This window comes from Homo sapiens, chromosome 13, assembly GCF_000001405.40.
Source record: "Homo sapiens chromosome 13, GRCh38.p14 Primary Assembly".
NCBI classification, from domain to species: domain Eukaryota; kingdom Metazoa; phylum Chordata; class Mammalia; order Primates; family Hominidae; genus Homo; species Homo sapiens.
In genome coordinates, this window is record NC_000013.11 from 28,692,270 (window position 1) to 28,719,519 (window position 27,250).

At 40.3% G+C, this 27,250-nt stretch overlaps 1 protein-coding gene, 1 long non-coding RNA gene and 1 pseudogene across 5 annotated transcripts, besides 1 other annotated feature; 1 reads left to right on the plus strand and 2 right to left on the minus strand.

Annotated features, from left to right (window-relative positions):
• Positions 1,206-1,738: an enhancer, noted in NCBI's record as "H3K27ac-H3K4me1 hESC enhancer chr13:29267612-29268144 (GRCh37/hg19 assembly coordinates)". NCBI's record gives its function as "activates a minimal SCP1, AML or CMV promoter by ChIP-STARR-seq in naive H9 embryonic stem cells {active_cell/tissue: H9 hESC(naive)}" and the evidence as "EXISTENCE:reporter gene assay evidence [ECO:0000049][PMID:30033119]".
• On the plus strand, positions 1,487-15,363 carry LOC124903143 (uncharacterized). The gene is made up of 3 exons (XR_007063738.1): positions 1,487-1,895; positions 12,162-12,296; positions 14,328-15,363. It is a non-coding gene; the product is annotated as an uncharacterized LOC124903143 (long non-coding RNA).
• Positions 7,811-26,701, minus strand: SLC46A3 (solute carrier family 46 member 3). Of its 4 annotated transcripts, none has more exons than XM_005266361.3 (7): positions 26,473-26,701; positions 25,541-25,753; positions 20,411-21,281; positions 18,491-18,574; positions 11,674-11,830; positions 9,232-9,312; positions 7,811-8,687 (listed from the first exon to the last, which is right to left on the minus strand). In XM_005266361.3, the coding sequence occupies exons 2-7, from the start codon at positions 25,727-25,729 to the stop codon at positions 8,678-8,680; spliced, it is 1,392 nt and encodes a 463-aa protein (XP_005266418.1). In that variant the 5' UTR covers positions 25,730-25,753; positions 26,473-26,701; the 3' UTR covers positions 7,811-8,677. The 4 variants fall into 4 exon arrangements, with proteins under 4 accessions (XP_005266418.1, NP_001129391.1, NP_001334889.1 ...); NM_001135919.2 differs by having other exon boundaries at positions 26,227-26,701; NM_001347960.2 differs by having other exon boundaries at positions 7,811-9,312.
• Positions 11,433-11,538, minus strand: RNU6-53P (RNA, U6 small nuclear 53, pseudogene; annotated as a pseudogene).

Genomic DNA, 27,250 nt, shown 5'->3' on the forward strand with positions numbered 1-27,250 from the left:
AATGACAAAATCTCTCAGCATTTGCTTTTCTGTAAAGGCTTTTATTTCTCCTTCACTTATGAAGCTTAGTTTGGCTGGATATGAAATTCTGGGTTGAAAATTCCTTTCCCTAAGAATGTTGAATATTGGCCCCCACTCTCTGGCTTGGAGGGTATCTTCCAAGAGATCCACTGTTAGTCTGATGGGCTTCACTTTGCGGGAAACCCAGCCTTTGTTTCTGGCTGCCCTTAACATTTTTTCCTTCATTTCAACCTTGGTGAATCTGATCATTTTGTGTATTGGGGTTGCTATTCTTGAGGAATATCTTTGTTGTGTTCTCTGTATTTCCTGAATTTGAATGTTGGCCTGCCTTGCTAGGTTGGGGAAGTTCTCCTGGATAATATCCTGAAGAGTGTTTTCCAGCTTGGTTCCATTCTCCCTGTCACTTTCAGGTACAGCCATCAAACGTAGATTTGATCTTTTCACATAGTCCCATATTTCTCGGAGCCTTTGTTTCTTTTCACTCCTTTTTCTCTAATCTTGTCTTCTCGCTTTATTTCATTAAGTTGATCTTCAATCACTGGTATCCTTTCTTCTGCATGATTGATTCGGCTACTGAAGCTTGTGTATGCTTTACAAAGTTCTCATGCTGTGTTTTTGAGCTCCATCAGGTCATTTATGTTCTCTACATTGGTTATGTAGCAATTCATCTAACCTTTTTTCAAGGTTCTTAGCTTCCTTGTGTTGGGTTAGAACATGCTCCTTTAGCTTGGAGGAGTTTGTAATTACCCACCTTCTGAAGCCTACTTCTGTCAATTCGTCAAACTTATTCTCCGTCCAGTTTTTTTCTCTTGCTGGCGAGAAGTTATGATTCTTTGGAGGAGAAGAGGTGTTCTGGTTTTTGGAATGTTCAGTCTTTCTGCACTGGTTTCTCCCCATCTTTGTGGTTTTATCTACCTTTGGTCTTTGATGTTGGTGACCTACAGATGGGGTTTTGGTGTGGATGTCCTTTTTGTTGATGTTGATGCTATTCTTTTCATCTGTTAGTTTCCCTTCTAACAGGTCCCTCAGCTGCAGGTCTGTTGGAGTTTGCTGGAGGTCCACTCCAGACCCTGTTTGCCGGGATATCACCAGTGGAGTCTGCAGAACAGCAAATACTGCTGCCTTATCCTTCCTCTGGAAGCTTTGTCCCAGAGGGGCACCTGCCAGATGCCAGCCAGAGCTCTCCTCTATGAGGTGTCTGTTGGACCTTACTGGGAGGTGTCTCCCAGTCAGGCTACACGGGGGTCATGGACCCACTTGAGGTGGCAGTCTGTCTGTTATCAGAGCTCAAACACTGTGCTGGGAGAACCACTGCTCTCTTCAGAGCTGTCAGGCAGGGATGTTTAAGTCTGCTGAAGCTGTGCCCACAGCTGCCCCTTCCCCCAGGTGCTCTGTCCCAGGGAGATGGGGGTTTTATCTATAGGTCCCTGACTGGGGCTGCTGTCTTTTGTTCAGAGATGCCCTGCCCACAGAGGTGGAATCTAGAGAGGCAGTTGGCCTTGCTGAGCTGCGGTGGGCTCCTCCCAGTTCGAAATTCCTGGCGGCTTTGTTTACACTGTGAGCATAATACTGCTTGCTCAAGCCTCAGCAATGGTGGACACCCCACCCCCCAGCCAAGCTCCAGCGTCTCAGGTCGATCTCAGACTTCTGTGCTAGCAGCGAGAATTTCAAGCCAATGGATCTTAGCTTGCTGGGCTCTGTGGGTGTGGGACCCACACAGCCAGGCACTGGAAGGAATCTCCTGGTCTGCCGTTTGCAAAGAATGTGGGAAAAGTACAGTATCTGGGCAGGAGTGCACTGTTCCTCCCCGTACAGTCTCTCACAGCTTACCTTGGCTAGGAAAAGGAAATCCCCCGACCCCTTGCACTTCCCAGGTAAGGCGACACCCCACCCTGCTTTGGCTCACCCTCCGTGGGCTGTTCCCACTGTCCAACCAGTCCCAGTGAGATGAACCAGGTATCTCACTTGGAAATGCAGAAATCACCTATCTTCTCTGTTGATCCCACTGGGAGCTGCAGACTGGAGCTGTTCCTATTCAGCCATCTGGCTGGAAATCCCACTGTGTATCTTTTAAGTGGAGCATTTAGGCCATTTACATTCAATGTTAATATTGGGATGTGAGGTACTATTCTATTTATCATATTAGTTGTTACATAGATACTTTGTTTTTTTCACTGTGTTACTGCTTTATAGACCCTGTGATGCTTTCAGCAGGTTCCATTTTGGTACATACCAAGTTTTGTTTCAAGATTTAGAACTCCTTTAGCATTCCTTGTAGTGCTGATTTGGTAGTGGCAAATTCCCTCAGCATTTGCTTGTCAGGAAAAGACTATTTCTCCTTCATTTATGAAGCTTAGTTTTGCTGGATACAGAAATTAAAAAAAAGAAATTCAGGTGTGTGATGGAATAGACTTTTTTTTTTTGACTCAACACCACTTAATGAAGGAATAGATTTTGAATGTGCTTTTAGAATATTGTATAATGTCCTTATGTAAGATAATTCTAGACTCAAATATTTCAAGGAGCTGGATGTGGCTTAATACTTTGTAAAATTGGATTCACCACAGGCACACACTAAGTGAAATGGAGATGCCAGAAGTCCTTGACATAGAGTAGAGCATCAGTTCTCAAGCTTTTGTGTGCACCAGAATCATAGGAGGGCTTTTAAAAACACAGATTGCTGAACCCCACTCCTAGAGTTTGTGATTCAGAAAGGTTGAGTTGAAGCCTGAGAATTTGCATTTCTAACAAGTTTGTAGGTTATGGTAATGCTACTAAACTAAGGACCATATTTTGAAAGTCACTAGTATAGAAGAAAGAAATCAAATAACTTTGAGGGACAAGAATGTTGGAGTGCTTTGCCTACGTAAATCCCCTCTTCATTTGCTACCTGTCTTTCCCAAAAGGGTCAATATAATCTTTTGAACTTTATTGAGGTATAATTTACATAACACAGTATATTCATATATTTTGACAAATGTATATAACTGTATAACCAACATAATCAAAATAAAAAATATGTCCATCATCCCAGAACGTTCTCTCCTGTCACTTTTTAATCCCTGTGTCTCCTGCCCCAAGCCCCAGGCAACCCCTCATCTCATTTCTCACACTGTAGATTAGTTTGTGGGTTTTTTTTTTTTTCAAGAATTTCATGTACATAGAATCATACAGTATGTAATTGTTTTGTATTTGGTTTCTTTTGCTTTGTGTAATGTTTTTAAAACTCTTCATGTTGTTGAATATGTGAGTAATTTGTTTTTTTTTATTGCTCAGTAGTATTCACTGTATGGATATTTATATTTTGTTTATTCATCTATTGAAGGTTATTTGGGTCATTTCCAGTTTGGGGCTATTATAGATGAAGCATCTATAAACATTTATAGACAAGCCTTTGTATGGACATGTGTTTTCATTTGTCTTGGGGCAAATGACATAGGAGAGAGCTACTGCATCATATGTAAGTGTATGCGCGAATTTCCACTTGCTTAACGGTGTCATCAGCTCTTGGTATTGTCACACTTTTTAAACTTTAGCCGCTGTAGTGAATATGTAGTAGTATCTCATTATGGTTTTAATTTGCGTTTCCTTGATGACTGATGGTGTTGAACATTACTGTATTTTTTGTGTGACTTGTCCTTTCAAATACTTTGTCCACTTCCCCACACTCTTTTTAAATTTGTCTCATTGAGTTGTAAAAGTTTTTAACATATTCTGATTATTAAGCATTTGTCAGGTATATGTATTGCAAATATCTTCTGGAGTCTTGGCTTGCTTTTTTCTCTTTTTTCTTTTCTTACCTTTTTTTTGTTTGTTTGTTTTTGAGACAGGTTCTCATTCTGTTGCCCAGGCTGGCACATTCACGGCTCACTGCAGCCTTGACCTCCTGGGTTCAAGTGATCCTCTCACTTCAGCCTCTCATGTAGCTAGGACTACAGGTGCACACCACCATGCTCTGCTAATTTTTGTATTTTTTGTAGAGATGGGGTTTCATCATGTTGCCCAGGCTGGTCTTGAACTCCTGGGCTCAAACGATCTGTCTGCATTAGCCTCCCAGGATGCTGGGATTACAGGTGTGAGCCACTGCACCCACTCCTTTTTATTTTCTTAACTGTGTATTTCAAAGCAGAACATTTTAATTTAGATGAAATCCAATTAAGCTATGTGTATGTGTTTTACATCTTTGGGGTCCTGTCTAAAATCTTTGCCTAACCCAAAATTATGAAGATTTTCTTGTTATTTTCTTCTAGAAGTTTTGTATTAACTTTCATATCTTAATGTTGAGTCTTCTAATCCATGAACTCATATTTCTTTCCATTTATTTAGGTCTTCTTTAATTTCAGCAGTGTTTTATAGTTTTCAGCATACAGGTCTTGCACATATTTTGTTAAATTTATTCCTAGGTATTTTTTGTTTTTTGATGCTTTTATTAAATGGTTTGGTTTAACCTTAATTTTTTCAGTTGTTTGTTGCTAGTATACAGAAATACAATGATTCATACATATCGACTTTATATTTCACAACCTTGCTAAATTCATTTATTAGTTCTAGTAGTTTCTTTATCTTAATGAAGGTTCTTTAGAATTTTCTATGTCATATTATTTGCAGATAAACAGTTTTACTTTTTCCTTCCCAATCTATATCCCTTTTATCGCCTTCTCTTGCCTTATATCTAGGGCTCCCAGTATGGTGTTGAATAGGAGTTGTGAAACTGGATACACTTGCCTTATTCCCAATCTTAGAGGGAAAGCAGCCAGGCCTTTTACCATAAAGTATCATTAGCAGTAAGCTTTTAAAAAAATAAAATAGATGCCCTTTATCAGTTTGATCCCTAGTTTCTTGAGAATTTTTATCATAAACGGATGTTGAACTTTGATAAATGTCTTTTCTGCATCCATTGATATGATCGTGTGGGTTTTTTTCCCTTTATTCTGTTGATATAGTGATTAAGTAATTTTTAAATGTTGAGTCAGCCTTGCATTCACAGGACAAACCTCATTTGGTCAGTATATATAATCTTTTTAATATATTGCTTGATTTGTTAATATTTTGTTGTGAATTTTTTATTTACGTTCATGAGGGATATAAATTCATCATTTACTCTTCTTGTAACTTCTTTGGTTTCACATGAAGGTAATGCTGACCTCATAAAATGAGTTGGGAAGTGTTCCTTGCTTCTATTTTCTAGAAAAGCTGTAGGTAGTACTAATATGTTTATTCCTTAAATGTTTAGCAATGAAACCATTTGCGCCAGGTCCCATCTTGATCACACACAGCTGTGTCCATTTATTTATGTATGGTCTTTGGTTACTTTGTGCTACAATGGCAAAGTTAAGTAATGTGACAGACTGTATAATCCAGAAAGCCTAAACTGTTTACTCTCAGGCCCTTTACAGAAAATGGTTTCTAACCCCTGACCTAGAGTAGTGATTCTCAACTCTAGCCACATATTGGAATCACCTGGAGAATGTTTGAAAAAAAATACTGTCTGGCTCTCATACCTAGAAATTCTAATTTAATGTGTTTGAGCTGAGGCTAGGCCATTGGAAGTTTCAAAAGCTCCCCAAGTGATTTGACTTGGCAGGTTGAGAACTACTGGATGAGAATAAGAGTTGGTGTTATGTATTCATTTTACTTCCCACCCCAAAGCTGATTATTCTAATGTGCATTTAGGGTTGAAAATCAGTCATCTAGGGCAGTAGTTTCCAGGTCTGGATGTGTATCAGTCACCTGGGGAGGTTTTAGAAATACATTCCAAGACCTCACTGCAGAGCTACTGAAGCAGAATCTCTAGTACATGAGGCCAAGGATTTTTATTTTTACTAATTAATTATTTTATTTTTATTTTTAAATTCTTCAGATGGTTCTCATATGCAGGGATTTCTTTAAAAGAATACTGAACCCAGGCCATGCTATTCTATTGTCAAGATTCTTGGGCATTGAATGAGTAATTAGAAGATTATGAGAGGTGAAGCCAGCTGGACTTTCTGGGTCGGGTGGGGACTTGGAGAACTTTTCGGTCTTACAAGAGTATTGTAAAATGCACCAATCGGTGCTCTGTGAAAACGCACCATCTGTGCTCTGCAGCTAGCTAGAGGTTTGTAAAATGGACCAATCAGCACTCTGTAAAATGGACCAATCAGCAGGACATGGGCAGGGACAAATAAGGGAATAAAAGCTGGCCACCCCCAAGCCAGCAGCCACAACCCCCTCAGGTCACTCTCCACGCTGTGGGAGCTTTATTCTTTCGCTCTTCACAATAAATCTTGCTGCTGCTCACTCCTTGGGTCCATGCCATCTTTAAGAGCTGTAACACAGTGAAGGTCCGTGGCCTCATTCTTGAAGGCAGTGAGACCACCAACCCACCAGAAGGAACCAACTCTGGACACAATTATCTAGTGAGTATGGAAGTGGAGAAAAGGGATTTAGATGTATGAGGCCGTGCAATGCAGGCTGTGGACAATCCCATTGACTAGTCCTCTGTAATGATGAGAATCTTCATTTCTAGTAGATATGGTAATCTAACCCCCTTTGTACACTGCTGGATAACATGGAACATGTTTTTTCCTCTCTGGTTTCTCTTTATCTGGGCTCCATAAAGACCAGTCCTTCCATTAACATTCTTTCTTCAGATAATCGGGTTACATGATGGGAAATTAGATTTTTTTTTTTTTCATTTCTGTTTTGAGTCTATAGTTCCCCATCCCATCAGCTTGCATGGTTCTCTAGTCTCTTCAGCACCACATTTACTAATTGTCTCTTAGGCTAGACACTTTGGAGATGGCTAAGTTCATTTGTGCTACATTTTTGCCCTTGGCCACCTCAATCTAATCTCCTGATATACTTGCTACATCTCAAATAGAGTTTTTGCTCAAGTAATCATCTGTTAACCCTTCAACTGTATTACACAGTACCTCTTCAGTTCAGATGAGATGTGTAAAATCATGGAATGTTGAGCTGGAAGAGAGTTTATAGACCATCTTGTCTAAGCTCAAAAAAGATAATAATTATAGGCAGTTAGTTGGGTACAGTTTTTTGTTAATTTGTTTTTGATGAGTACATCATGCTACCCCTGTACAATTCTTGCTTTGGGGTTTATAATCTATTACTGCAAACCCTAGCTATGAAGTAGCTGGACTTCATTCAGTAGGGTGAAGTCCATTCATGTGTCATACTGATAGGCACTGAATAACCACGGTCCAGCCAAATCTCTGTGAGACTTATCTTCCTCTTCTGTAAAATGAGGAGAATGAATATCTACTTTATAAACTGTAAGATGCTTTTTGTTTTGGTTTGGGAAGAACCTTGGACAGGAAGGAAAACAAAAATGTATCAGTCAATCTGAGAATTAGTTATTACACGGGCTCCAAGCCCAGAAGATACTAGCTAAACCTAAAAGGAATGATCTTGGAAATAAGGATTTCTAGTATATTAAATTATGAGTGCTATTCACTAGTCAAGCAATCATTGATTTTCTTAAAGCCCTAAGCAATACTATAAAACAGAAGATTGTATCTACTTTCAAGAGATTACAATGAAGTTACTCATTTAGTTGCACGTTAGGGCATTTGTGTTATTATTTATGGTAACTTCGAAAATGGGAGGTATTAAAGGACCTATGAAAATACTGTAAATCAGTTTTAAAAGTGTATAAACTGGCATATTTTTCAATTTGTTTGCAAGGCTGGCTTAATGATTGGCATGATAACAGTGGTTACTCTCATAAGGCATTAAATATATAGCTCTAAATGATTTTTACAAGTAAAAATAAAATTTTGTAGTCATTTAGTTTAGTTCAACAAATATTTATTGAGGATATAATGAGTAATCAAAGGTTGTCCCAGTACTCAAGGCGATGATTGTCAGGTAGCAGAAACAATTACAAGTCGATGGAAAATGCTGGGATCGAAGTGCACACAAAGAGCTATGGAAGCCCTGTAGGGACTGGGGAGTGAGGAGGGATGTCAAGAAGGCTGCTATCCAGAAGAAGCAATGTTTCGACTGAGGCTTGAAAGTTTCAATGTAATGTGGGAGGAAGAGCAAATGGAACAGTGTGTGAAAAGACATGGAGGCATGAGAACACATGGTGTTTTTAGAGACCAAGGTGGACCTCAGGATGAGCGTAAGGCAGTAAGAAATGAGATGGGAAGGAGTCAAATCATGACTGGCTTGCTTGTTTGATCATTTTCCTATGAGTGACCGTGTTGACGGATTCAAATTTAAGGAGTACAAGATCGTATTTTAAAAATGCCCTTAGCAGTATTTATAATTGAACAAGGATAGACAACAGCTGGGTAAGAAAGACTAGAGGCAGAATTCTCAGCCAGGGATCATGGAATGTGAATATCCTTTTGCTGACACAAGGAACAAATGTTGGCTCCAAACATTAGTTACTTTATACCAGTATTAGCTGTTCATTCAGTTTTTTAACTTCTTTAGAGCAATTTTATTTATCATCTATTTTTTCCCAATTACCCATTACATATAGAAATATTATCATGCCTGTCACCGATGAAACATATTAAGAAAAGTGAAAAATACATATTCTTTAAAGTGCCTCCCTTTTAAGGATTTTGTATCAACAAAGCACTGATTGTGGAATTCATGTATAGTCTTCAGAAGTCACAGTATATAAGCTCCGACTATCAATAGCAGCTTAACAGGCTCTATAAAATAAAGCATTACCAAGTATAGGTAAAATCATACATATTTGAAACTTATATCATTATTTTCCTACCAATGAGTGATTCATCATAATTTTCATTATGCCTTCAAAATTATCCCTGAGAGAGGCCAGAAACCCATTCTGCTGATGAAGAAACTGAGGTAAAGATTTCTCTTTGGTCTCAGTGTAAGAGCCTGGAATATGTCAGAGAGATTATTGCTTTTGACCTTATCAAGTTTCTTGATCCCTCCTTACACCCTTAAGTTTTAATGTTTCTCTTCTAAGTCTAAAAGTGAGGCGTATTTGAAATTTGTTCTGTGTATTGCAAGTATATTGCATGATACGCACAAAGTGCTCAAAGTGCGTGGTACCACAAGAAGCTAAAGCCAGGAGCTGTCTCTCTGACTGTTCAGTTTAGAAGAAAAGATAGGTAAAATTGGTTCTCAGTGAAGCACTGATTGTGGAATTCATTTATAGTCTTCAGAAGTCATGGTATATGATATGTGCATTCATAGATTTTTTTTGTTTGTTTAAATCACAGTCACCTGTCTGAAGCATCTTCACTGGATTCTTCTTGTATAAGAAGTTCATAGCTTCCCTCATTCCAGCTGGTACACTTGACAACACTATAAAAGGAAACAAGACATTTTAAAGTTGAGATTAAGACAATACATAAATAAGTAATCTGTTTTCCAACTTTTTTTCCCAGTTACATAGCTTTTAATAAATTATGCAGATTATTAGGAGGAGTATCCTGGCATTTTGAATCCAGCTGACTCATGCATGGTGTTCTTAAAATAATTTTAAAACTGCATGATTTTTTTTCTCTTCTAGACCCCTAAGGTATCCCATCTGTCCCATGGTTAACTCTGTGTAGTCCACATAAACTAGTTATAACTAAAGCTATTACTGAAGTTCCTGTTCAATAGCTATAGCTGAAGCTCAGAAGCTTGGACATTTGGAGGTAAGACAGTATGTAATTTTGATTTTTAAAATATTGAGCAGTGTAAGGTTAAAAAAAAAGCTCAGAAGCCCATCTACTTTACCTTATTATTAAAAGGACAACTGCCTTTTATCTATCTGTTATAACAGAATTTATAAACATGTGAAGACTAAAATTAGAATTACCTATTATTCTACTCACCATGTATGCAATTCTTTTCTTTAAGTGTTATTTTCCTACTGTTTAAAAAAATCTGTTTTTTTTTGGTAAAGATGGGGGTCCCACTATGTTGCCCAGATTGGTCTTGAACTCCTGGCCTCAAGCAGTCCTCCTGCCTCAACCTCCCAAAGTGCTGGGATTATAGGTGTGAGCCACGGTGCCTGCTACAATTCTTGTTAGTTAAGTCATTTTTCATGAAATGGCTGTACCATCATTTACTTAAACATTCTCCCACTGTTGGACAGTTTGGTCACTTAAAATTTTTTTGCTGTAATTAACGTTTTTATATATCAATTTTTGACAAAATTACTCATTATTTGTTTAGAGTATGTTTCTAAAAGGAATTGCTGGATCAATCACTATGAACTTTGAAAAAAGAGCTTTTGATATATTCATGAATTGCTTTATGATACAGCTGAATAGTACTATTATCAACAATGTGTAAGATCAGTTGTCTCATGTGCTTACCAGCACAGCATGTATTGGTAATTTTGTTAATTCGATAGGTGAATAGTCTCTTTTTAAAAAAGATAACTAGTATAAATAACTTTTCATCAAAATTAGAGGAACTGCAAATACTGTTGTTCTCTGACACAGATCTAGGTATCAGAATTCAATAGAAACAATAAGTACTGAGCTCCTACTATAAGACATGAGCCAGCCCTTTAGGGAGTTTGCCATCTTGGCAGGATGCTTAACACCTGTGCTTATAGGCACTTTCCTCCCTAACTCAGAGCCTTACCCCAAAGTGCTTAGGAGAAAGCAGAGAAGGCCTGGCTTCTTGTGGCCCCATTGCCTTGATTCCCGTCACTGTGCTATGCTATCAGCCACATGAAATGCACAGAGCTCAGCAGAAACAGATTAATGAGCTCTTCATTAATGTGTCAAATAAATTTGCTTGGACGTTTCAGCAATCATTCATCTAGTTGGCTCACATTTTTTGTTAAATAGAAAGCAAAAAGAAGGCATAAATATTGCTTTTATATTTATGCTTCTGATCTATCCATTATATGTACTATTCATAAATGGAATTTTGTGCTTCTTTAATTTGAATATTTAAATTTAAAAACATTTAAACATTAACGTTTAAACAAGTCATTAAAACAAGACAAAGTCATTAAACAAGCCAACTCTGGAAAGAGAACTCAATAGTCAGCACATCCTATCTGCTTTTGTCATTTATACAAGAATCCATGTGAAAGTCAATCTCATTACAGCAATCTTTGACCATCAGGGGATATTGTACTCTGGGAAATCATAGTTTAAAGGTATACATCTCTAATTTTAGATGCTAATTTAATCAATGGTTTAAAGGTGGGGAGTTATAATGAACACAATCCTTCTTTTAGTTCTTCACCCATGTCACTCTCTTTTTCTTCCTAAGTCTCCCCAAATTATTGACAGATGCTTTCACGTATTTTTATTTATTTTAATGAGATGGGGGTCTTGCTATGTTGTCCAGGCTGGTCTCAAACACCTGGGCTCAAAATCATCTTCCCGTCTCAGTCTCCTGACTAGCTGAGACTTCAGACATACACCACCATGACCGGTTCTCTTTTTTTTAATTAAAAAAATTTATTTTATTAAAATATGAAACACTTCATGAATTTTCCTGTCATCCTTGCACAGGGAGCATGCCAATCTTCACTGTGTCATTCCAATTTTGTATATATGCTGCTGAAGCGAGCACTTCATGTCTAAAAGTTCTTGAGAAAAGCACGTTCTGAGGCAAAATTTCAACAGACCTATGTAATTTACTGGTGAGGTTAGGGAATTCACTTAATCCATATACCCTCTGATAAAATGATTAAAAATAATGACATACCATAGACTGATGGCTGGAAGTAGTAACAGACCAGCAGACAGCAGGAAAGTGAAGCCAGGGTACCAAGCAACAGTGGCTGAGTAAATTCCATTAAAAGTAGAAACTGCAGTGACTCCTCCAAGTGTTTCTAAGAAAGCAATACAAGCAAACAGGGTACCTGTTTGGAGTAGGGATAGAGAGAGAGGAAAAAAAAAAGGCAGAATTACAAAACAACAAACACAAACTAATGGAGACAACTGTTACTCATTGAAAACAGTAAACATGAGGGCACTGCTGGGTGAATGAAATGAAAGTTATTCCCTCAAAGTCCCTGAGAAGTCAGCAGCCCATTCTGCAGCTGAGGAAACTAAGGGAAAGGTTCTCCTTGGACTTGATGTGAGAGATGTTGGAAACTCCAAATAGCTGAGTTCCAGTGTCCACAGGGCAAAGCTAAAAAGACAGTGCAGCTGACTCTTTTGATAACTGCATGTCTCTCCTCTCTGCCACAGCCCCAGGCAAAGCCACACCTACCCCTGCTCTTCAGGATGCTGTCTCCCACCCTCCAACCCCATGCTAATCTGTGACACCTGAAAGCACAGGATGGCTCCTAACAAGCAATGCTTCCTGCAAGAGCCTTTTGAAAGGTAAAGAAAACCTTCTTATCTGTTCCTCAGTCTGGCAAGTGACAGCTGCAGACAAAGAGAGGAGATTCTTATACATTCTGCAACTGGAATTTTATCCCTCTTCAAAGTCACCAAAAAATCCCATCACTACTAGATTCTGCATGTTTGACTCATCAAATTAACCATCTTGTGCTCTAGTGAAGGTTTATGCCACAGTTTAATGTTAAGTGATTCTTTAAAACATATGTTTCCACCTTATTGCTTGCAACTGCCTCTGCCCTAAGGTGCCTTACAAGATGAAGAGTGGGGATTCTGCTATGGTCACACTTGCTATACACCAAAGTTGGTCAAGGGTAGGCCACTCAGCATTGTTCATGAAGTCTGCATGGTCAGTGCAAGCTCACAATCAGAGAGAAACAGACAGTATTCTACCTATGTTTAGTTTTGTCTGGAATCCAAGACCATGTCAACTGAAGAGTTAAACTTCCAAAAGACAGGCTGGCCATCTTCATGTGCTTTTCTTCCTCTTTGTCAAATTGCTCATCATCAGATATAAAATTTCATGACCATTTTCAGTCAGATTGACCTGGCTTTCTTGGTCTCAGTTCCTATATATGTAGCTTCTGCTTTCTGCAGATTTTGTCAACAAGTCACTATGCTTGTTCCCTACTTTGCCAAGTTTACTTTTCCATGAAAAACTGCAATGCATTTTTCTTACTGACAATACAAATCATGTAAATAATTGTGTTTGCTTGGACTGATAGGAAGGAAATGGCCAAGCTTGAGGGTTATCTTTCAAAGTTAGATATGGCTTATGTGTATATTCTAATTTTCCCCATGGTCTTCATCTTTTAGACTGTGTATTGATTTTTATCTATTTAAACTTTTTCATTTTATTGTACATATTCTCATATATTGCTTCAAATTATTCATTGAATGATAGGACAAACATTCATAAAACATACGTCTATCTCTGCAAAATATCGTGTGCTCACTTATGTGTCTTCTTTTGACTAAAATGAAAGCTTTGTCGATCTGCCTTGTACATCTGCCTTGCTCACAGCTGTATCCCTAGGGCTCAGCTGTCCGGGTGCATGGCAGACATTTAATAAATATTTGTCAAATGAATGAATCAAAGCTTAATTCAGGATCCCATTTACCAGTCATCAAGTAGCATGCAGACTTACTGCCTCCATGATTTATGATAATACATTAAGTCAGTTTAATTGGAAGGATGTTCTTCTACTTGTCTAACTACATTATTTTCTTTTATTTCTGATCTCTTTCTGCAGCCAGGAATAGTGCTATGGAAAACAGACTGCACAGTACTAGTTCTATTATGTAAGAGTTTTAATCTATTCTTGATGGGAAATAGGTCAGACACTGCACCATCTGTTCTGATGGAACCATACTATTATGAAGTAGCTTTAGCTTATTGCCCAACTTCTCTGAGCAGTTCGACTTGTTTAATAGTTGCCAGAGATAAAACAGGATTAAAGGATAAGTACAACTGAGTTCATCTTCTAAATTCTGTTTTTTTTTAATGCAATAGACCTCAAAAATCAAGTCTGTTTTACTGTCTCCCAATTTATAATAACAAGGAGTATATGGGTGATGCCCAGGTAAAATAGTCCAAGGCAGCTTCAGCTATGAGTTCACAGTGGTGCAGAGCGCAGAGATTGCAAAATAATTACCAGAATTCCACTTTCTTACCTTTCTTATTTAAGATAATAGAAATAATGAGAGCCAACTGAAAACTTCGGCAGTATTTCCCCACTCCTCTGATTATTTAAAGTGCCTAATATTTTCACAAAATGGCCAATTTAAATAATAATGAAGGATGCGAATACATTTAGTTATAGAAATGTTGACATCATCCAAAAGATTGTTTAGTTTGCAGTTAAGAACAAAGTAAGTATCCTAGAATAATGAAGTCACAATTCACAGTTACCGTAATTCAAAATAAGAAATGCCAAAATGTAAACATTTTAAAATATTACTATATTTAACAGTATGATATGACTTTTTTATTTTTATGTTTATTTTTCGTAGAGATAGAGCCTCCCTCTGTTGCCCACACTGCTTTTGAACTCCTGGTCTCAAGTGATCCTCCCACCTCGGCCTCCCAAAGTGCTGGGATTACAGATGTGAGCCACTGCACCTGGCGGAGATGACTTTTTAAAAGCCTTTATAAGGATATGAACAGACACTTCTCAAAAGAAGACATTTATGCAGCCAACAGACACATGAAAAAATGCTCATCATCACTGGCCATCAGAGAAATGCAAATCAAAACCACAATGAGATACCATCTCACACCAGTTAGAATGGCGATCATTAAAAAGTTAGGAAACAACAGGTGCTAGAGAGGATGTGGAGAAATAGGAACACTTTTACACTGTTGGTGGGACTGTAAACTAGTTCAACCATTGTGGAAGACAGTGTGGTGATTCCTCAAGGATCTAGAACTAGAAATACCATTTGACCCAGCAATCCCATTACTGGGTATATACCCAAAGGATTATAAAACATGCTGCTATAAAGGCACATGCACACGTATGTTTATTGTGGCACTGTTCACAATAGCAAAGACTTGGAACCAACCCAAATGTCCATCAATGATAGACTGGATTGAGAAAATGTGGCACATATACACCATGGAATACTATGCAGCCATACAAAAGGATGAGTTCATGTCCTTCGTAGGGACATGGATGAAGCTGGAAACCATCATTCTCAGCAAACCATCGCAAGAGCAAAAAACCAAACACCACATGTTCTCACTCACAGGTGGGAATTGAACAATGAGAACACTTGGACACAGGAAGGGGAACATCACACACCGGGGCCTGTCGTGGAGTGGGGGGAGGGAGGAGGGGGGAGGGATAGCATTAGGAGATATACCTAATGCTAAATGACGAGTTAATGGGTGCGGCACACCAACATGGCACATGTATACATATGTAACAAACCTGCACGTTGTGCACATGTACCCTAAAACTTAAAGTATAATAAAAAAAATTTTAAAAAGCCTTTATAAACTAAACCAAATATAAACAAAAATAAACTATACCTCTTGACAGCTCTATTTTAGCTCTAAGTCAAAGCAGGTAAATTTTTTTTCCCAATAGCTTTATTGGGATATAATTAACATCCCACAAACCTCACCCTTTTAAAGTCTGCAATTCAGTGGTTCTTAGTATGTTGCAGATTTGTGCAACCATCACCACTATCTGTGGAACATTTTCATCACCCCGAAAAGAAACTGTATACCCATAAGTAGTCATTCCCCTTCCCCAGCCCCAGTCAAGCCCTAATCAAATTTCTGTCTCTATGGATTTGCCTATTCTGCACATTTCACGTAAACAGAATCATATTTAAATGACAATATGTGGCCTTTTGTGACTAGCTTCTTAAATTTGGCATAATCATTTCATAGTTCATCCATGTTATGGCATGTAACAGAACGATATTTCTTTTTATTGCAGAAGAGCAGTTTGCTGGATGGATAAACCACATTTTGTTTACCCATTTGTCAGTTCATGAACATTTGCATAGGTTTCACTTTTTGGCTATTATGAATAATGCTGCCATGAACAAGATTTTATGTGGACATATGCTTTCACTTCTCATGGTATGTAAGTAGGGGAGGGATTGCTGAGTCATAAGGCAACTAACTTTCTGAGGAACTGCCAAACTGCTTTGTACAGCTGCTGCACCATTTTATGTTCCCACTCGCAGTGTATGAGGGCTCCAATTTCTCCACATCCTCATCAACACTTGCTATGGCCTATTTTATTTTGGCCACCCCAGCCCACTCTGTGGTTTTGCTTTGCATTTCCCTGATGGCTAATGATATCCAGCATTTTCATGCGCATATTGGTCACTTGTATATCTTCTATTCAAATCCTTTGCCCATTTTTAAATTGAGTTGTCTTTTTGTTGTTGAATTTTAAGAGTTCTTAAATATGCTGGATACGAGTTCCTGCTCAGACAAATATAATTTGCAAATATCTTCTCCCATTCTGTGGGTTGTCGGTTGTCATTTCACTTTCTTTCTTTTTCTTTTCTTTTTTTTTTTTTTTTTTGTATTTTTAGTAGAGACGGGGTTTCACCATGTTGGTCAGGCTGGTCTCAAACTCCTAACCTCGGGTCATCCACCCGCTTTGGCCTCCCAAAGTGCTGGGATTGCACATGTGAGCCACTGCGCCTGGCCTCACTTTCTTGATGTTGTCCTTTGAAACATAAAAATTTTTCAAAGGACAAACTTTGAATGAAGTTTTTGGATGAAGTCTAATCTATCAATTTTTCCTTTGTTCTTGTGCTTTTGGTGTCATATCTAAGAAACTATTGCATAGTCCAAAGAAGCAGATAGATTTTTACATAGTTTATATAAATTTTTCCATTTGTTATTGGTTTTCAAAGCAATCATCATCACATCATCTATAAACAGATGTGTGAATATATAGCTACATCTTATGAGTGAAAAATAAGAGGCCGGGTGCGGTGGGTCACGCCTATAATCCCAGCACTTTGGGAGGCTGAGGCGGGCTGATTACCTGAGGTCAGGAGTTTGAGACCAGCCTGGCCAACATGGTGAAACCCTGTCTCTGCTAAAAACACAAAAATTAGCCAGGCATGGTGGCAGGAGCCTGTAATTCCAGCTACTTGGGAGGCTGAGGCAGGAGAATTGCTTGAACCCAGGAGGCAGAGGTTGCAGTGAGCCGAGATCACACCATTGCACTCCAGCCTGGGCAGCAAGAGTGAAACTCCGTCTCAAAAAAAAAAAAAAAGAGAGAAAGTAAAAGAAGAAATATATTTTTAATTTATTGAATTATGTAGCCTTCTCCAGTATTGACTAAACTGGTAAAAATACAACAGCATAATTATGAATTATTCATAAATCAAATAAGTACATTCACAGCACCGGGCTAACATATGACATTAAAGAAAGTGCCAATGTCTAATAAGATTCATATGATACAAAAGGGAAGGAGGACAAGCCCATATGCCTGATATCTAACTAGTAACTAGTTCTCAATGGAAATTTAATTTTTGTCTTTGCTGCATCCTGGTTATTCTCTGCCTGCCCCTTCAACTGTTTGACTTTGTGTACCCTGCTCTGTGCTTTGGAGGCTGACCCCACAAATTATATGACTTGGACTTTCTTGCTGGCCCGAGTTCCTGCTGCACTTGGTTAAAAGGATGATGGGGGAGAAAGGTTATGGTGTTTCTTCTCTGCTTCCTATCTGGGGCATCTCTCTGGCTGCCTCGACAATGCCCACTCTCTATAATGGCCTTCATGAAAGTTTCTTGATTGAACCAGCTGAGTGGGGCCCCGTTTTCTGCCAGGACTCTGAGTCAGGCCCAGCTGTGACAGTTGTAGGGGCCAGTGTAAGAACATTATCAGAGGCCTATATATTATATTCTTAGGATTTAAAAGTGGTCAGTTATTTGAAATCTGGCCAACAAACTGTTAACTAAAATATATTATGCCTTCCTACTGTGAAAAATATCCCTTTGTAATGAATGATCTAGGAGACCCGCACACACTTAGGATTCTCAGACGTTTTCAGAATTCCACGTAGGAACAGGGTAGCCCAGGGTGAACTGGCCCTCAGCCCTTGGTGCCCAGCTGGAGCCCACCCCCATTCTGCTCTACCCCTTGCACCACCCTGCTCAGAAAGGGTCATTACAGGGTGTGGAACAGCCCCACCCTGTGATTCCAAAGTCCAGCCACACCCTTTAGAAGGAGTCGCCCCTTGGCTCCTTCCTTGGTCTACAGGTGAGCACACTGGGCACAGTCCACCCTCAGGAGAAGGTGGCTGAGGAAGAGGATCATCCAGGCCCTTACTGGACATAAGCCCAGAACTGGGCTGGGAATTGCAGGGACCCAGGTGGGCAGAGTTCAGTCTAGAAGGAAGGAGATGTGGTGAGCTCCCAGTGGGCATCTCCCACTTGGCCCTGAGAGCTCCTTTCTTCTTAGGGCGGGGCACGGCCCAGAGCCGAGGGAGCTCTCTAAAGTACAAGGCCCTAGGCAGGGGCTCCCTTGCAAGAGTGTAAGCCTTTCCCTCACAGAGCTTACCACTTTATTCAAAAGGAGATCCGTGCATAAAAAGGGCTGTAGAATATTCTGAAGCATTAAACATTGATTGTACACAGATTTGAGTTTGTAAAGATGGTAGATTCATATTTCTTAAGCAAATTAAACTCACCTTGTTCAGTCGAACGAACCACTTTTGACAACATGGACCGTAGAACAGAGAATGGCACAATAGTGAAAAGGAACGGCACCCTGGCTGTGAGAGAAAGGATTCAAAATCACTGGCTGATTCTGAAAGCTAATGGCCAATTTAAAATAGGAAACACTTTCACTCTGTCTAAATACTTCCTTTTCTACAAGCATCCTAACTCATTGTATCTAAAAATTGAATTAATTAATTGTAGAACTCTGTTTGATGAATTAAAGTAGACTATGGACAGGTCAGTTTAAGGTTACTTTACTCTAGAATTCTTATTCCAGTACAGAGAACAAGAGTTCATGTAATTTTTAGGTCTAGATCTATTTATATAATCTGCCGATTAAGACTGATCTGCTGGCCGGGCGCAGTGGCTCACACCTGTAATCCCAGCACTTTGGGAGGCCGAGGAGGGCAGATCACCTGAGTTCGGGAGTTCGAGACCAGCCTGACCAACATGGAGAAATCCTGTCTTTACTAAAAATACAAAATTAGCCAGGCGTGGTGGCGCATGCCTGCAATCCCAGCTACTTGGGAGGCTGAGGCAGGAGAATCACTTGAACCCGGGAGGTGGAGGTTGCAGTGAGCCCAGATCATGCCACTGCACTCCAGCCTGGCGACAGAGTGAGACTCCATCTCAAAGAAAAAAAAAAAACAAAAAAAAAAACTGATCTGCTTATTTTCCTAATTATATATTAACCTCTTATTTAGCAAATTGAGACTGCTAATTCATTTTTGTTTGTGCTTTTTTCAGACTTGGCACTCTTAGTGTTAGCATGCCTTTATTATATTGATTTATTTATTGGTAAACTGGTTCTTTATCATCTTGCCTGTTCATCTTTGTGGCAGAATAACTTCATAAACACAAATTACCTCTGGTCTTCAGTTATGACCCTTAATAGTCAGTAGTTTTAATTACATCATAAAATAGTAAAATATGACATTAGCAGACCACTTTACAATTCTCAAAGTGTTTTCACATAGATTAACTTACCTGACCTTGGCAGCTCTTAGGGAGACAGGGAGAAAAACTGGCTATTATTGAATAGTAGGGATTGTGCCAAGCGAGTGCTTGACAGCTACCTAATGTTCACTGTAATCCTCTAAATTAGGTAGTACCACGCCCATTTTACAGATGAGAAAATGAGGGCTGAGAGTAGTTCAGTAACTTGCCCAAGATCATCTAGTACTATAGATGGAAGTTAGGCCCAATTCTATTTGGTCACACTGCTTCCCTGCAAGATAGTAAGGGGTTAACACTTTTATTAGAGAAAAGAGTAAATTGGACCTTTCCCAGAGTCTCATTTTATAGTTCCACAGCCTTTTTCAATGCAGTATCTCATTTGAATCCTGCAAAAACAGTTATAAGGTAGGTAGTTAAGGAAGCAGTCTAATTTGCCAACCAGCAATTCATCAAAAATCAATTTATGAAATGGCCAATTTGCTGAAAGATCAATTTGCAAAACCTGTCTTTAAAAAATTTCTTCTTGAATATATTAAATTGATATAGTTTTTTTCTTATAAGTATTTTTAGTATACTTTATATCATTGTCCTAAATATTTTTATGGGAAGTAGTCTTATTAGCAGCATTTTAAGAAATCTTCACTTTAATGAAAGCTATATTGAAGAACTGATTCATAAGAAGAATGTTCCTCAAAACAATTTTGAGGCAAATATACACATTTGGGAAATTGTGGTTATTCAGTGGATTAAATTTTTAAAGTGAATTCGGCTTTTGGCTTATTGACTCCTGGCAAACTAGTTATTACCCTTTAATTGAACTAGAATGGCTTAAATAGAGGGCTTTAGATTAAAGTTTCTCCCCCAGTAGACTAAATTCATTTTATATGAATATCAAATACATAGTTAGTTCTAAAGCTACACTTGGAACTCACCTAAAAACATCATCAGTGTTGTACTGGCAAACGCGGTCATAGCCATTCCTGTCATCGTGGTAAAAATCCCAATGAAGGCCATATGAATATCTTCCATACAATAAGAAAAAAGCCATATTCCTAGGAAACTAGTCAAAAAAGAGGCACTACCCAAAGCTGATCCATAACCTATAAAAACTTCATTCCAGCAGAGTGGTGAATCCAATTCATAAAGGATAAAAATTGGGGCAATGCCAATTACCACAAAAAAATAAGTGATTACTGTAAAAAGTAACAAACAGAGCAAAAATCGTCTCTTACCAGAAGCATTCTTAAAAAGCATGTAAGTTCGGTAAAATAGGTTTTTGAAGCCTTCACTACATGACATAGTAACATTCTGAGATGAACACTCTTTCACTGGATCTCCGAGAAAAAATAAAATATAGATCAAATTAACAGCAAGAGACACAGCAATAATTAGAAACGACCACTCAAAACCTAGCTCTCTAATAAAATAGCCAGATGACAGTCCTGTTAGTCCAGTAACAAGTCCAAGTAGAAAGTCAATGATAGCTATTCGAATTGTTTTTTGTTTGTGTTCTTTACACTGATCAACTATATAGGCAAAGCAAGCTCCCCAAAATGTGGTATAATTGCCACAAAATGCACCAATGAAGGTAGATGCAATCAAAAGCTGGAATGGAAAGGCAAAATAGCAAAGCAAACAGAGCCAAACGCTGGTTGCAAGAGCACCAACGGAAGACAAAATCATAGGGAATTTTCGTCCGTAGTGATCACTAATAGACAAAAGTATGAATGTAGACACTAGACCAGGAATTAATCCACTTATGTCCATCTGCAGATTAAAACGTGACACTTTTTTCTGAACTTCCTGCAAAGAAATATAAAGAAGACAATGTGTTTACAGTAGTTAACACAACGTGTATAAAAATATCATGGTGCATATGCTTTTTTCCCTGTGGCCAGTAGGTTATGGGTGGGGAATCTCTGGTGGATGGGCGGGACTAATAGAGCTTACATTTTCATCCAGTTTATAAAGCAATGCAGACTGAGTATCCCTTATCTGAAATGCTTGAGACCAGAAGTATTTCCGATTTTGGATTTTTTCAGACTTTGGGATATTTGCATGTATATAATGAGATACCTTGTGGATGGGACTCACATTTAAACACAAAATTCATTTATGTTTCATATATACCTCATACATACAGCCTGAAGGTAATTTTATACAATATTTTAAACAAATTTGTGCATAAAACAGTTGCCATTGAGTACTTGTGTGTGGAATTTTACACTTGTGGTAAAGTGTGGTGATCAAAAAGTTTCAGATTTTGGTCGGGCGTGGTGGCTCATGCCTGTAATCCTCATATTTTGGGAGGCTGAGGCAGGAGGATCACTTGAGGTCAGGAGTTTGAGACCAGCTTGGCCAACATGGTAAAACTCTGTCTCTACCAAAAAATACAAAAAAAAAAAAAAAAAACCTTTATTTAGGGAGAGCTTGGCTGTTGCCCTTATTTTTTTTTTTTACCTATGTCTTCACAGATAGATTAGTGAGAAACATCTTCCTTTATTTACTAAATAAAAGAATTTAAAATAAGATAAAATTGAAAGAGGAGACTTACACTGTCTACAGATGGTAGCATACCGTGGCTGAGTGTGGTGGCTTACGCTTATAATCCCAGCACTGTGGGAGGCCGAGGTGGGAGCATCACTTGTGCCCAGGAATTTGAGACCAGCCTGGGCAACATAGCGAGACCCTGTCTCTAAAAATAAATTTAAAAAAACTAGGCCAGGCACGGTGGCTCACGCCTGTAATCCTAGCACTTTGGGGGGCCAAGGTGGGCGGATCACTTGAGGTCAGGAGTTTGAGACCAGCCTGGCCAACATGGCAAAACCCTGTCTCTACTAAAAATACAAAAATTAGCCAGGCGTGGTGGCGTACGCCTGTAGTCTCCGCTACTTGGGAGGCTGAGGCAGAAGAATTGCTTGAACCTGGGAGGCAGAGGTTGCAATGAGCTGAGATTGTGCCATTGCACTCCAGCCTGGGTGACACAGTGAGACTCCATCTCAAATAAATAAAAATAAAAAGTAAATAAAGGTGGTAGTATGTCATGACCTGAGGAGTAAGATAAACTCAACTTCCAAGGACCAAAATGACAATGACAGATGACATACACACACAGATTGGAAGATGTGTCAATCATTACACTAGTTACTTGATGGAAGAAATTTTGCATGATCTTAAAACATTTTTTGCTTGCCATTGCTCTGTATTTTCCAAAGTCAATATAAAAAGTGTGTGCCATTTGTATACTGGGAAATGCTAAGCTGATTTAAAAAACAGATGTAAACCGTTTTTAGTCATTGAATGAATCACTGAAGGCGATGGTGGTGCCTCCTGGGAAACAAAAATGTTCCTTTGTCCTAAGGAGCAAACAGAGAGTAGGCCACCACTCCAGCGTGGGTGGCAGGTGAGGGTAGGGGTGGTTTCTGGTTCCCAGAGGTCTAAGAGCACCAACTTTAAGGGAAGGGATCTAGAGTAGTAGGTTCTCTTGAATATTAATCCAATTAAGAAACAATAAATGAAAAAGTCAATTTGAAAATTCGGCAAAAATCTTTGACATGAGACCACTGCTGTGGGCAGTAGGGGGCTCTCAGCAGCTGGGCCAGGCTGGAGGTGGGCCAACACTTGCCCCCTGTATGGTTGCAGAAGCCACCAAGCTGGCTGGACCAAGGCCCGTCTTCCCTCAGTCCAAGAGGGCAAGAGCAGCAGACTTTCCCAGACATTCTTGTCCTCTCCTCCCTGGTCCCTCCCACTGCAACCAGGGGGCCTGCTCCTACAGGTCAGCCAAAAGAAAGCACAGAATCAAATACAGAAATTGATGAGCCTGTAAGAAGAAATTTGTTAAAGGATACAAAATTACAGCTAGACAGGAGGAATAAGTTCTGGTGTTCTGTAGCACCACAGGGTGACTACAGTTAACAGTAATATGTTATATAGTTTCAAATAGCAAGAAGGAGGGTATTGAATGTTCCCAACACAAAGAAATGAGAGATGTCTGAGTTGATGGATATGCTAATTAGCCTGATCTGATCACTATACATTGTATGTATCAAAACACCACTGTATACTCCATGAATATGTACAATGATTATCTGTCAATTAAAAAAATAAAATAAGACCGGGCACGGTGGCTCACGCCTGTAATCCCAACACTTTGAGAGGACCAGACAGGAGGCTCACTTGAGGCCACGAGTTCAAGGCCAGCCTGGGAAACAGAGGAAGACCCTGTCTCTACAAAAAAAAAAAAAAAAAATCAAAAATTAGCTGAGTGTAGTGGCACGTGCCTGTAGTCCCAGCTACTCAGGAGGCTGAGGTGAGAGGATCCCTTGAGCCTAGGAGTTCAAAGTTGCAGCGAGCTATTACCACGCCACTCCACTCCAGCGTGGGCAGCAGAATGAGACCCTGTCTCAAAAAGTACCATACATGCATAAATACATAATAAACAAAATAAAATAAAAAACACTTCAGGTGATTCCCATGTCCAGTCAAGGTTAAAAAACACTGTGTTAGAGGTTCCAGGATGGGATTCAAGTATGTATATTAACAAACGTCTCCAGAGCCGAAATCTGAAGAGCATCCCTGCTGTAGGACCCCAACTTTGAAACTAAGAGGATTTGTTAAACTCTATTCTGTTTATGTGTGTTTTTCTCAACCTAGAGAGACTCTGGGCTTCTCGGGTTCAGAGCCGTTTTGCTTATCCTTGTCACCACAGGATAATGTGTGATAAACATTTGTTTAATGCATGAATAAACACTTACAAAAAGAAACTGTGAGCCGATCGAAGCTTCTCACTCCCGGGAATGACCTAGGAGACATTCTTGAAGGGAGATAAGACCGCTGGGTGAGACTCAGGGCCCTTTTTTTTTATGACCTTACTCTACGCCAGAACCTTGATGTCTTCCAGGCTGCTCAGAAATAATCACTCCCAAGAAAACGTTTCCCATGGGAATGAGGAAATGAGTAAGATTAGGGATTGTGCCAAATTGCCTAACCTCACCCCAGCAAGGTTCCACCTGACACCTCGGGAAGTGCTAGAACCTTGCCTCTGGGGCGGTTTGCCATTTCCTCCTTCTCAGGCTCTTCTCCCAGTCACAGAGACTCACAGAGCCAGCAGGAGGTGACTCAATTCCTTTTAATTCATTTCATCTTTCACTGGGAAGGCAGCACCACTCCTTTACAATCACAAAATATCCCCCAGAAGAAGAGTTTAGAGTTTACAGGTGTGATTTGTTTTTGAGGCATTGTAGGAAAAAAAAAAAAATTTCCAAACCTGGATACTATCTCTTTGCATTTTGAAATGGTAGACTTTTGTCAAAAACTGCCCAAGGGACCAGGAGAATGGTGAAGTGCCTGCCTCCTGTTTTACACACAAAAAAACTGGGGAGATTGCTGGAGAGGGAGGAAGAAAGCCTCCTTAATATCTGGCTAAACATCTTTGGTGTCAACGGTGGGTACTCCCCACTCCAGATGTCCCCACACAGCTGCTCCTCAACACGTGAGAGCCAAGGCTGATTTGATACCACCACCAAATAATAAATGCTCCTCCACCCCACCCTGTGACAGACACTGGCTCACAATCTTCAGTGATGGGCCACTTTCTAGAGTCCCTGAAAGCTGGGACATGCAGAAACAGTAAAAGGATTGGGGAAGAATAGAGCAAGTGAGAGACAGAAACACCATGTTTCAGCCACCCCTGTCCACCAAGTAGCTCATTCCAGCCTGCCCTGCCCCAATTTTCAGACTTTTTTTTTTTTTTTTTTTTTTTTTAGGACAAAGCAAGGAGACAGCCACAGAAGAGATGACACTGTGGTGAAATTTTCCGAGAGAAAGGAGAAGAGCTAGTGTCACAGAGCAGGAGGGTGTTTTAAGAAGAAGAGGCAGATTTGAAAGGTGTCAGGAAACTTCAAATGAGGTGAGTTCCCAGTAAAGGCCATTAGGTTTGGGATTTAGGACTTTGATGGCCGCCCTAGAGAGACCAATGGATGATGAGTTCACGGTCCTCTTTAACTCAAAGCCCGGTATACATTCCCATTTTATTAAATACTATGGATATTGTAATTTCTTACCTCCTGGAATGCAAAAATTGGGCTGCTTTTGTTTTTTTCACACTCAGAAATATTGCTATCAGATGAAAAAGTGTAGTTGCCAGTTTCTTCCCATATTCTCCGATAAACATATTGCGTTGTCAGTGGACCGGTCAAAGTCATAGCAAATGCACTAAGGAAAATGGCAGGTTCTACAAATAAAATCTTCATATTGCCTGGGTAGGTAGCTGTATTCTATAAAAAGTGAAAACGGAGAAAGATCATCTGTCTCATCCCAGAGGCTAGATATTCAAAGATGGGTAAGTTTGAGCAATTTTGTGGAGTAAATGTTTAAACAAGCAAACTAGAGAACAGAAAAGGCAGTAAGCACTTTCTCAGAGAATAACTTTTACTTTGGAGTAGAGTACTCTGTAACAACCTGAGGCTGCCATGCTTTCCATTTTTATGAGTAGGACATTGTAGGACTCAAGCCGCCTTTGAGTCTTTGAAATCATAAACTGTCACCCATCTTGGTTAGCCAATGATCACAGTACAGTTCCCACACTGTATATTGCCAACTGATTTTTCGTAAGTTCAACAATGAGGTTCCTTTTGGGAAGCGACAGTTGCACAATTGTTATTGTTATTTTGCTGCGTATTAAAAACGGACAGGGAGGGGGCGTTTTAAAAAGCAGCTCCCAATCGAAAGGGCCTTATTTTTAACTCACCCCACGATTACAGTCTTCCTGCCAGGCTGGGTACAGGTCGGGCCGTGCCAGGGGCTGTCGCCTCGGATGCCCTGCGCTCGTGCGCGCCCGGGTTCAAGGGCAGCCTCTGGACTGGGGCAACAGAGGACGCGCCGGGGACAGTAACCTCGGACTACGCGGCCGGCGCTGGGGTGGGGAGAGTACTTTCCCGTCGAACTCGACCAAATTACGCTTGTCGGGGAGTCTCAAGCGTATTGTAAAGCAAACCTCGGCAAGCGCACTTCCGCGTCCCGAGTGACACCTGCAGGGTTCTCCGGCAGCCCTCGGCTTCCCCGCGGCCCTGCGGACCTCGGCCTCAGCGCGGCGCGGCGGGGCGCGGAGCAGCTGCTCCTTCTGCGCAGTGGACAATCGGCCAATCGGCGCCTCCGTCGGTCGGTCAGCGGCCCTGCCAGCGCTAGGCGATGACTCGGCCGCAGCCAGCTGAGCATCGCTGTCCGCCGAGGAGGCGGGGTCGGCTGCCGCGGCGCTGTCACTGTTCTACCCGGCTCTCCTGCGATTGGGCCCAGCGGTCGGTGCCCCAGCGGCGATTGGTCCACCCGGACGTCACTCTCCCCTGGAGAGTGGCTAGTGGATCGTGCACCCACCCTCGGAGGCCCGGAGTGGATCCCGCGCGACCGAGCAGCCACTCAGCACCGCTGTTGAGTGGTGGGCCGCGCCGCAGGCTCAACAGCTCTGGAGTTGCAAAGCATTTCTGAATCCGAATATCCTTTCTCATAGAAACACATAAAACAACAGTTGGAAAAGTAACATGTTTGGGCTGTAGCCCCCAGCAGGATCCCGGTCGGCCCGCAGAAGAGGGGAATGGGCGCAGGTGGAGGGCATAGGAAAGAGAGTGCTCAATGCAGAGTTAGCGGAGGGTTGGAATGTGGTCGCTGGCTTTTCCTGGGGAGGGGAGGGGGGACTTGGGCAAATCGTTAAATTTTCATGAACCTCCATGTCTTTATCTGCCACGTGGGGATGATAAGTCTTACAGGGTTGTCTAATT

What these genes read in the sequence shown, in the direction of transcription:
- SLC46A3 (XM_005266361.3), bottom strand. Translation starts at nt 25,729, where the DNA reads ATGAAGATTTTATTTGTAGAACCTGCCATTTTCCTTAGTGCATTTGCT. An exon ending in CAATTTTTGCATTCCAGGAG is followed by an intron (nt 21,282 to 25,540) that starts GTAAGAAATTAC and finishes ATTTCTTTGCAG; the next exon opens with GAAGTTCAGAAAAAAGTGTC. An exon ending in GGTTCGTTCGACTGAACAAG is followed by an intron (nt 11,831 to 18,490) that starts GTGAGTTTAATT and finishes TACTCCAAACAG; the next exon opens with GTACCCTGTTTGCTTGTATT.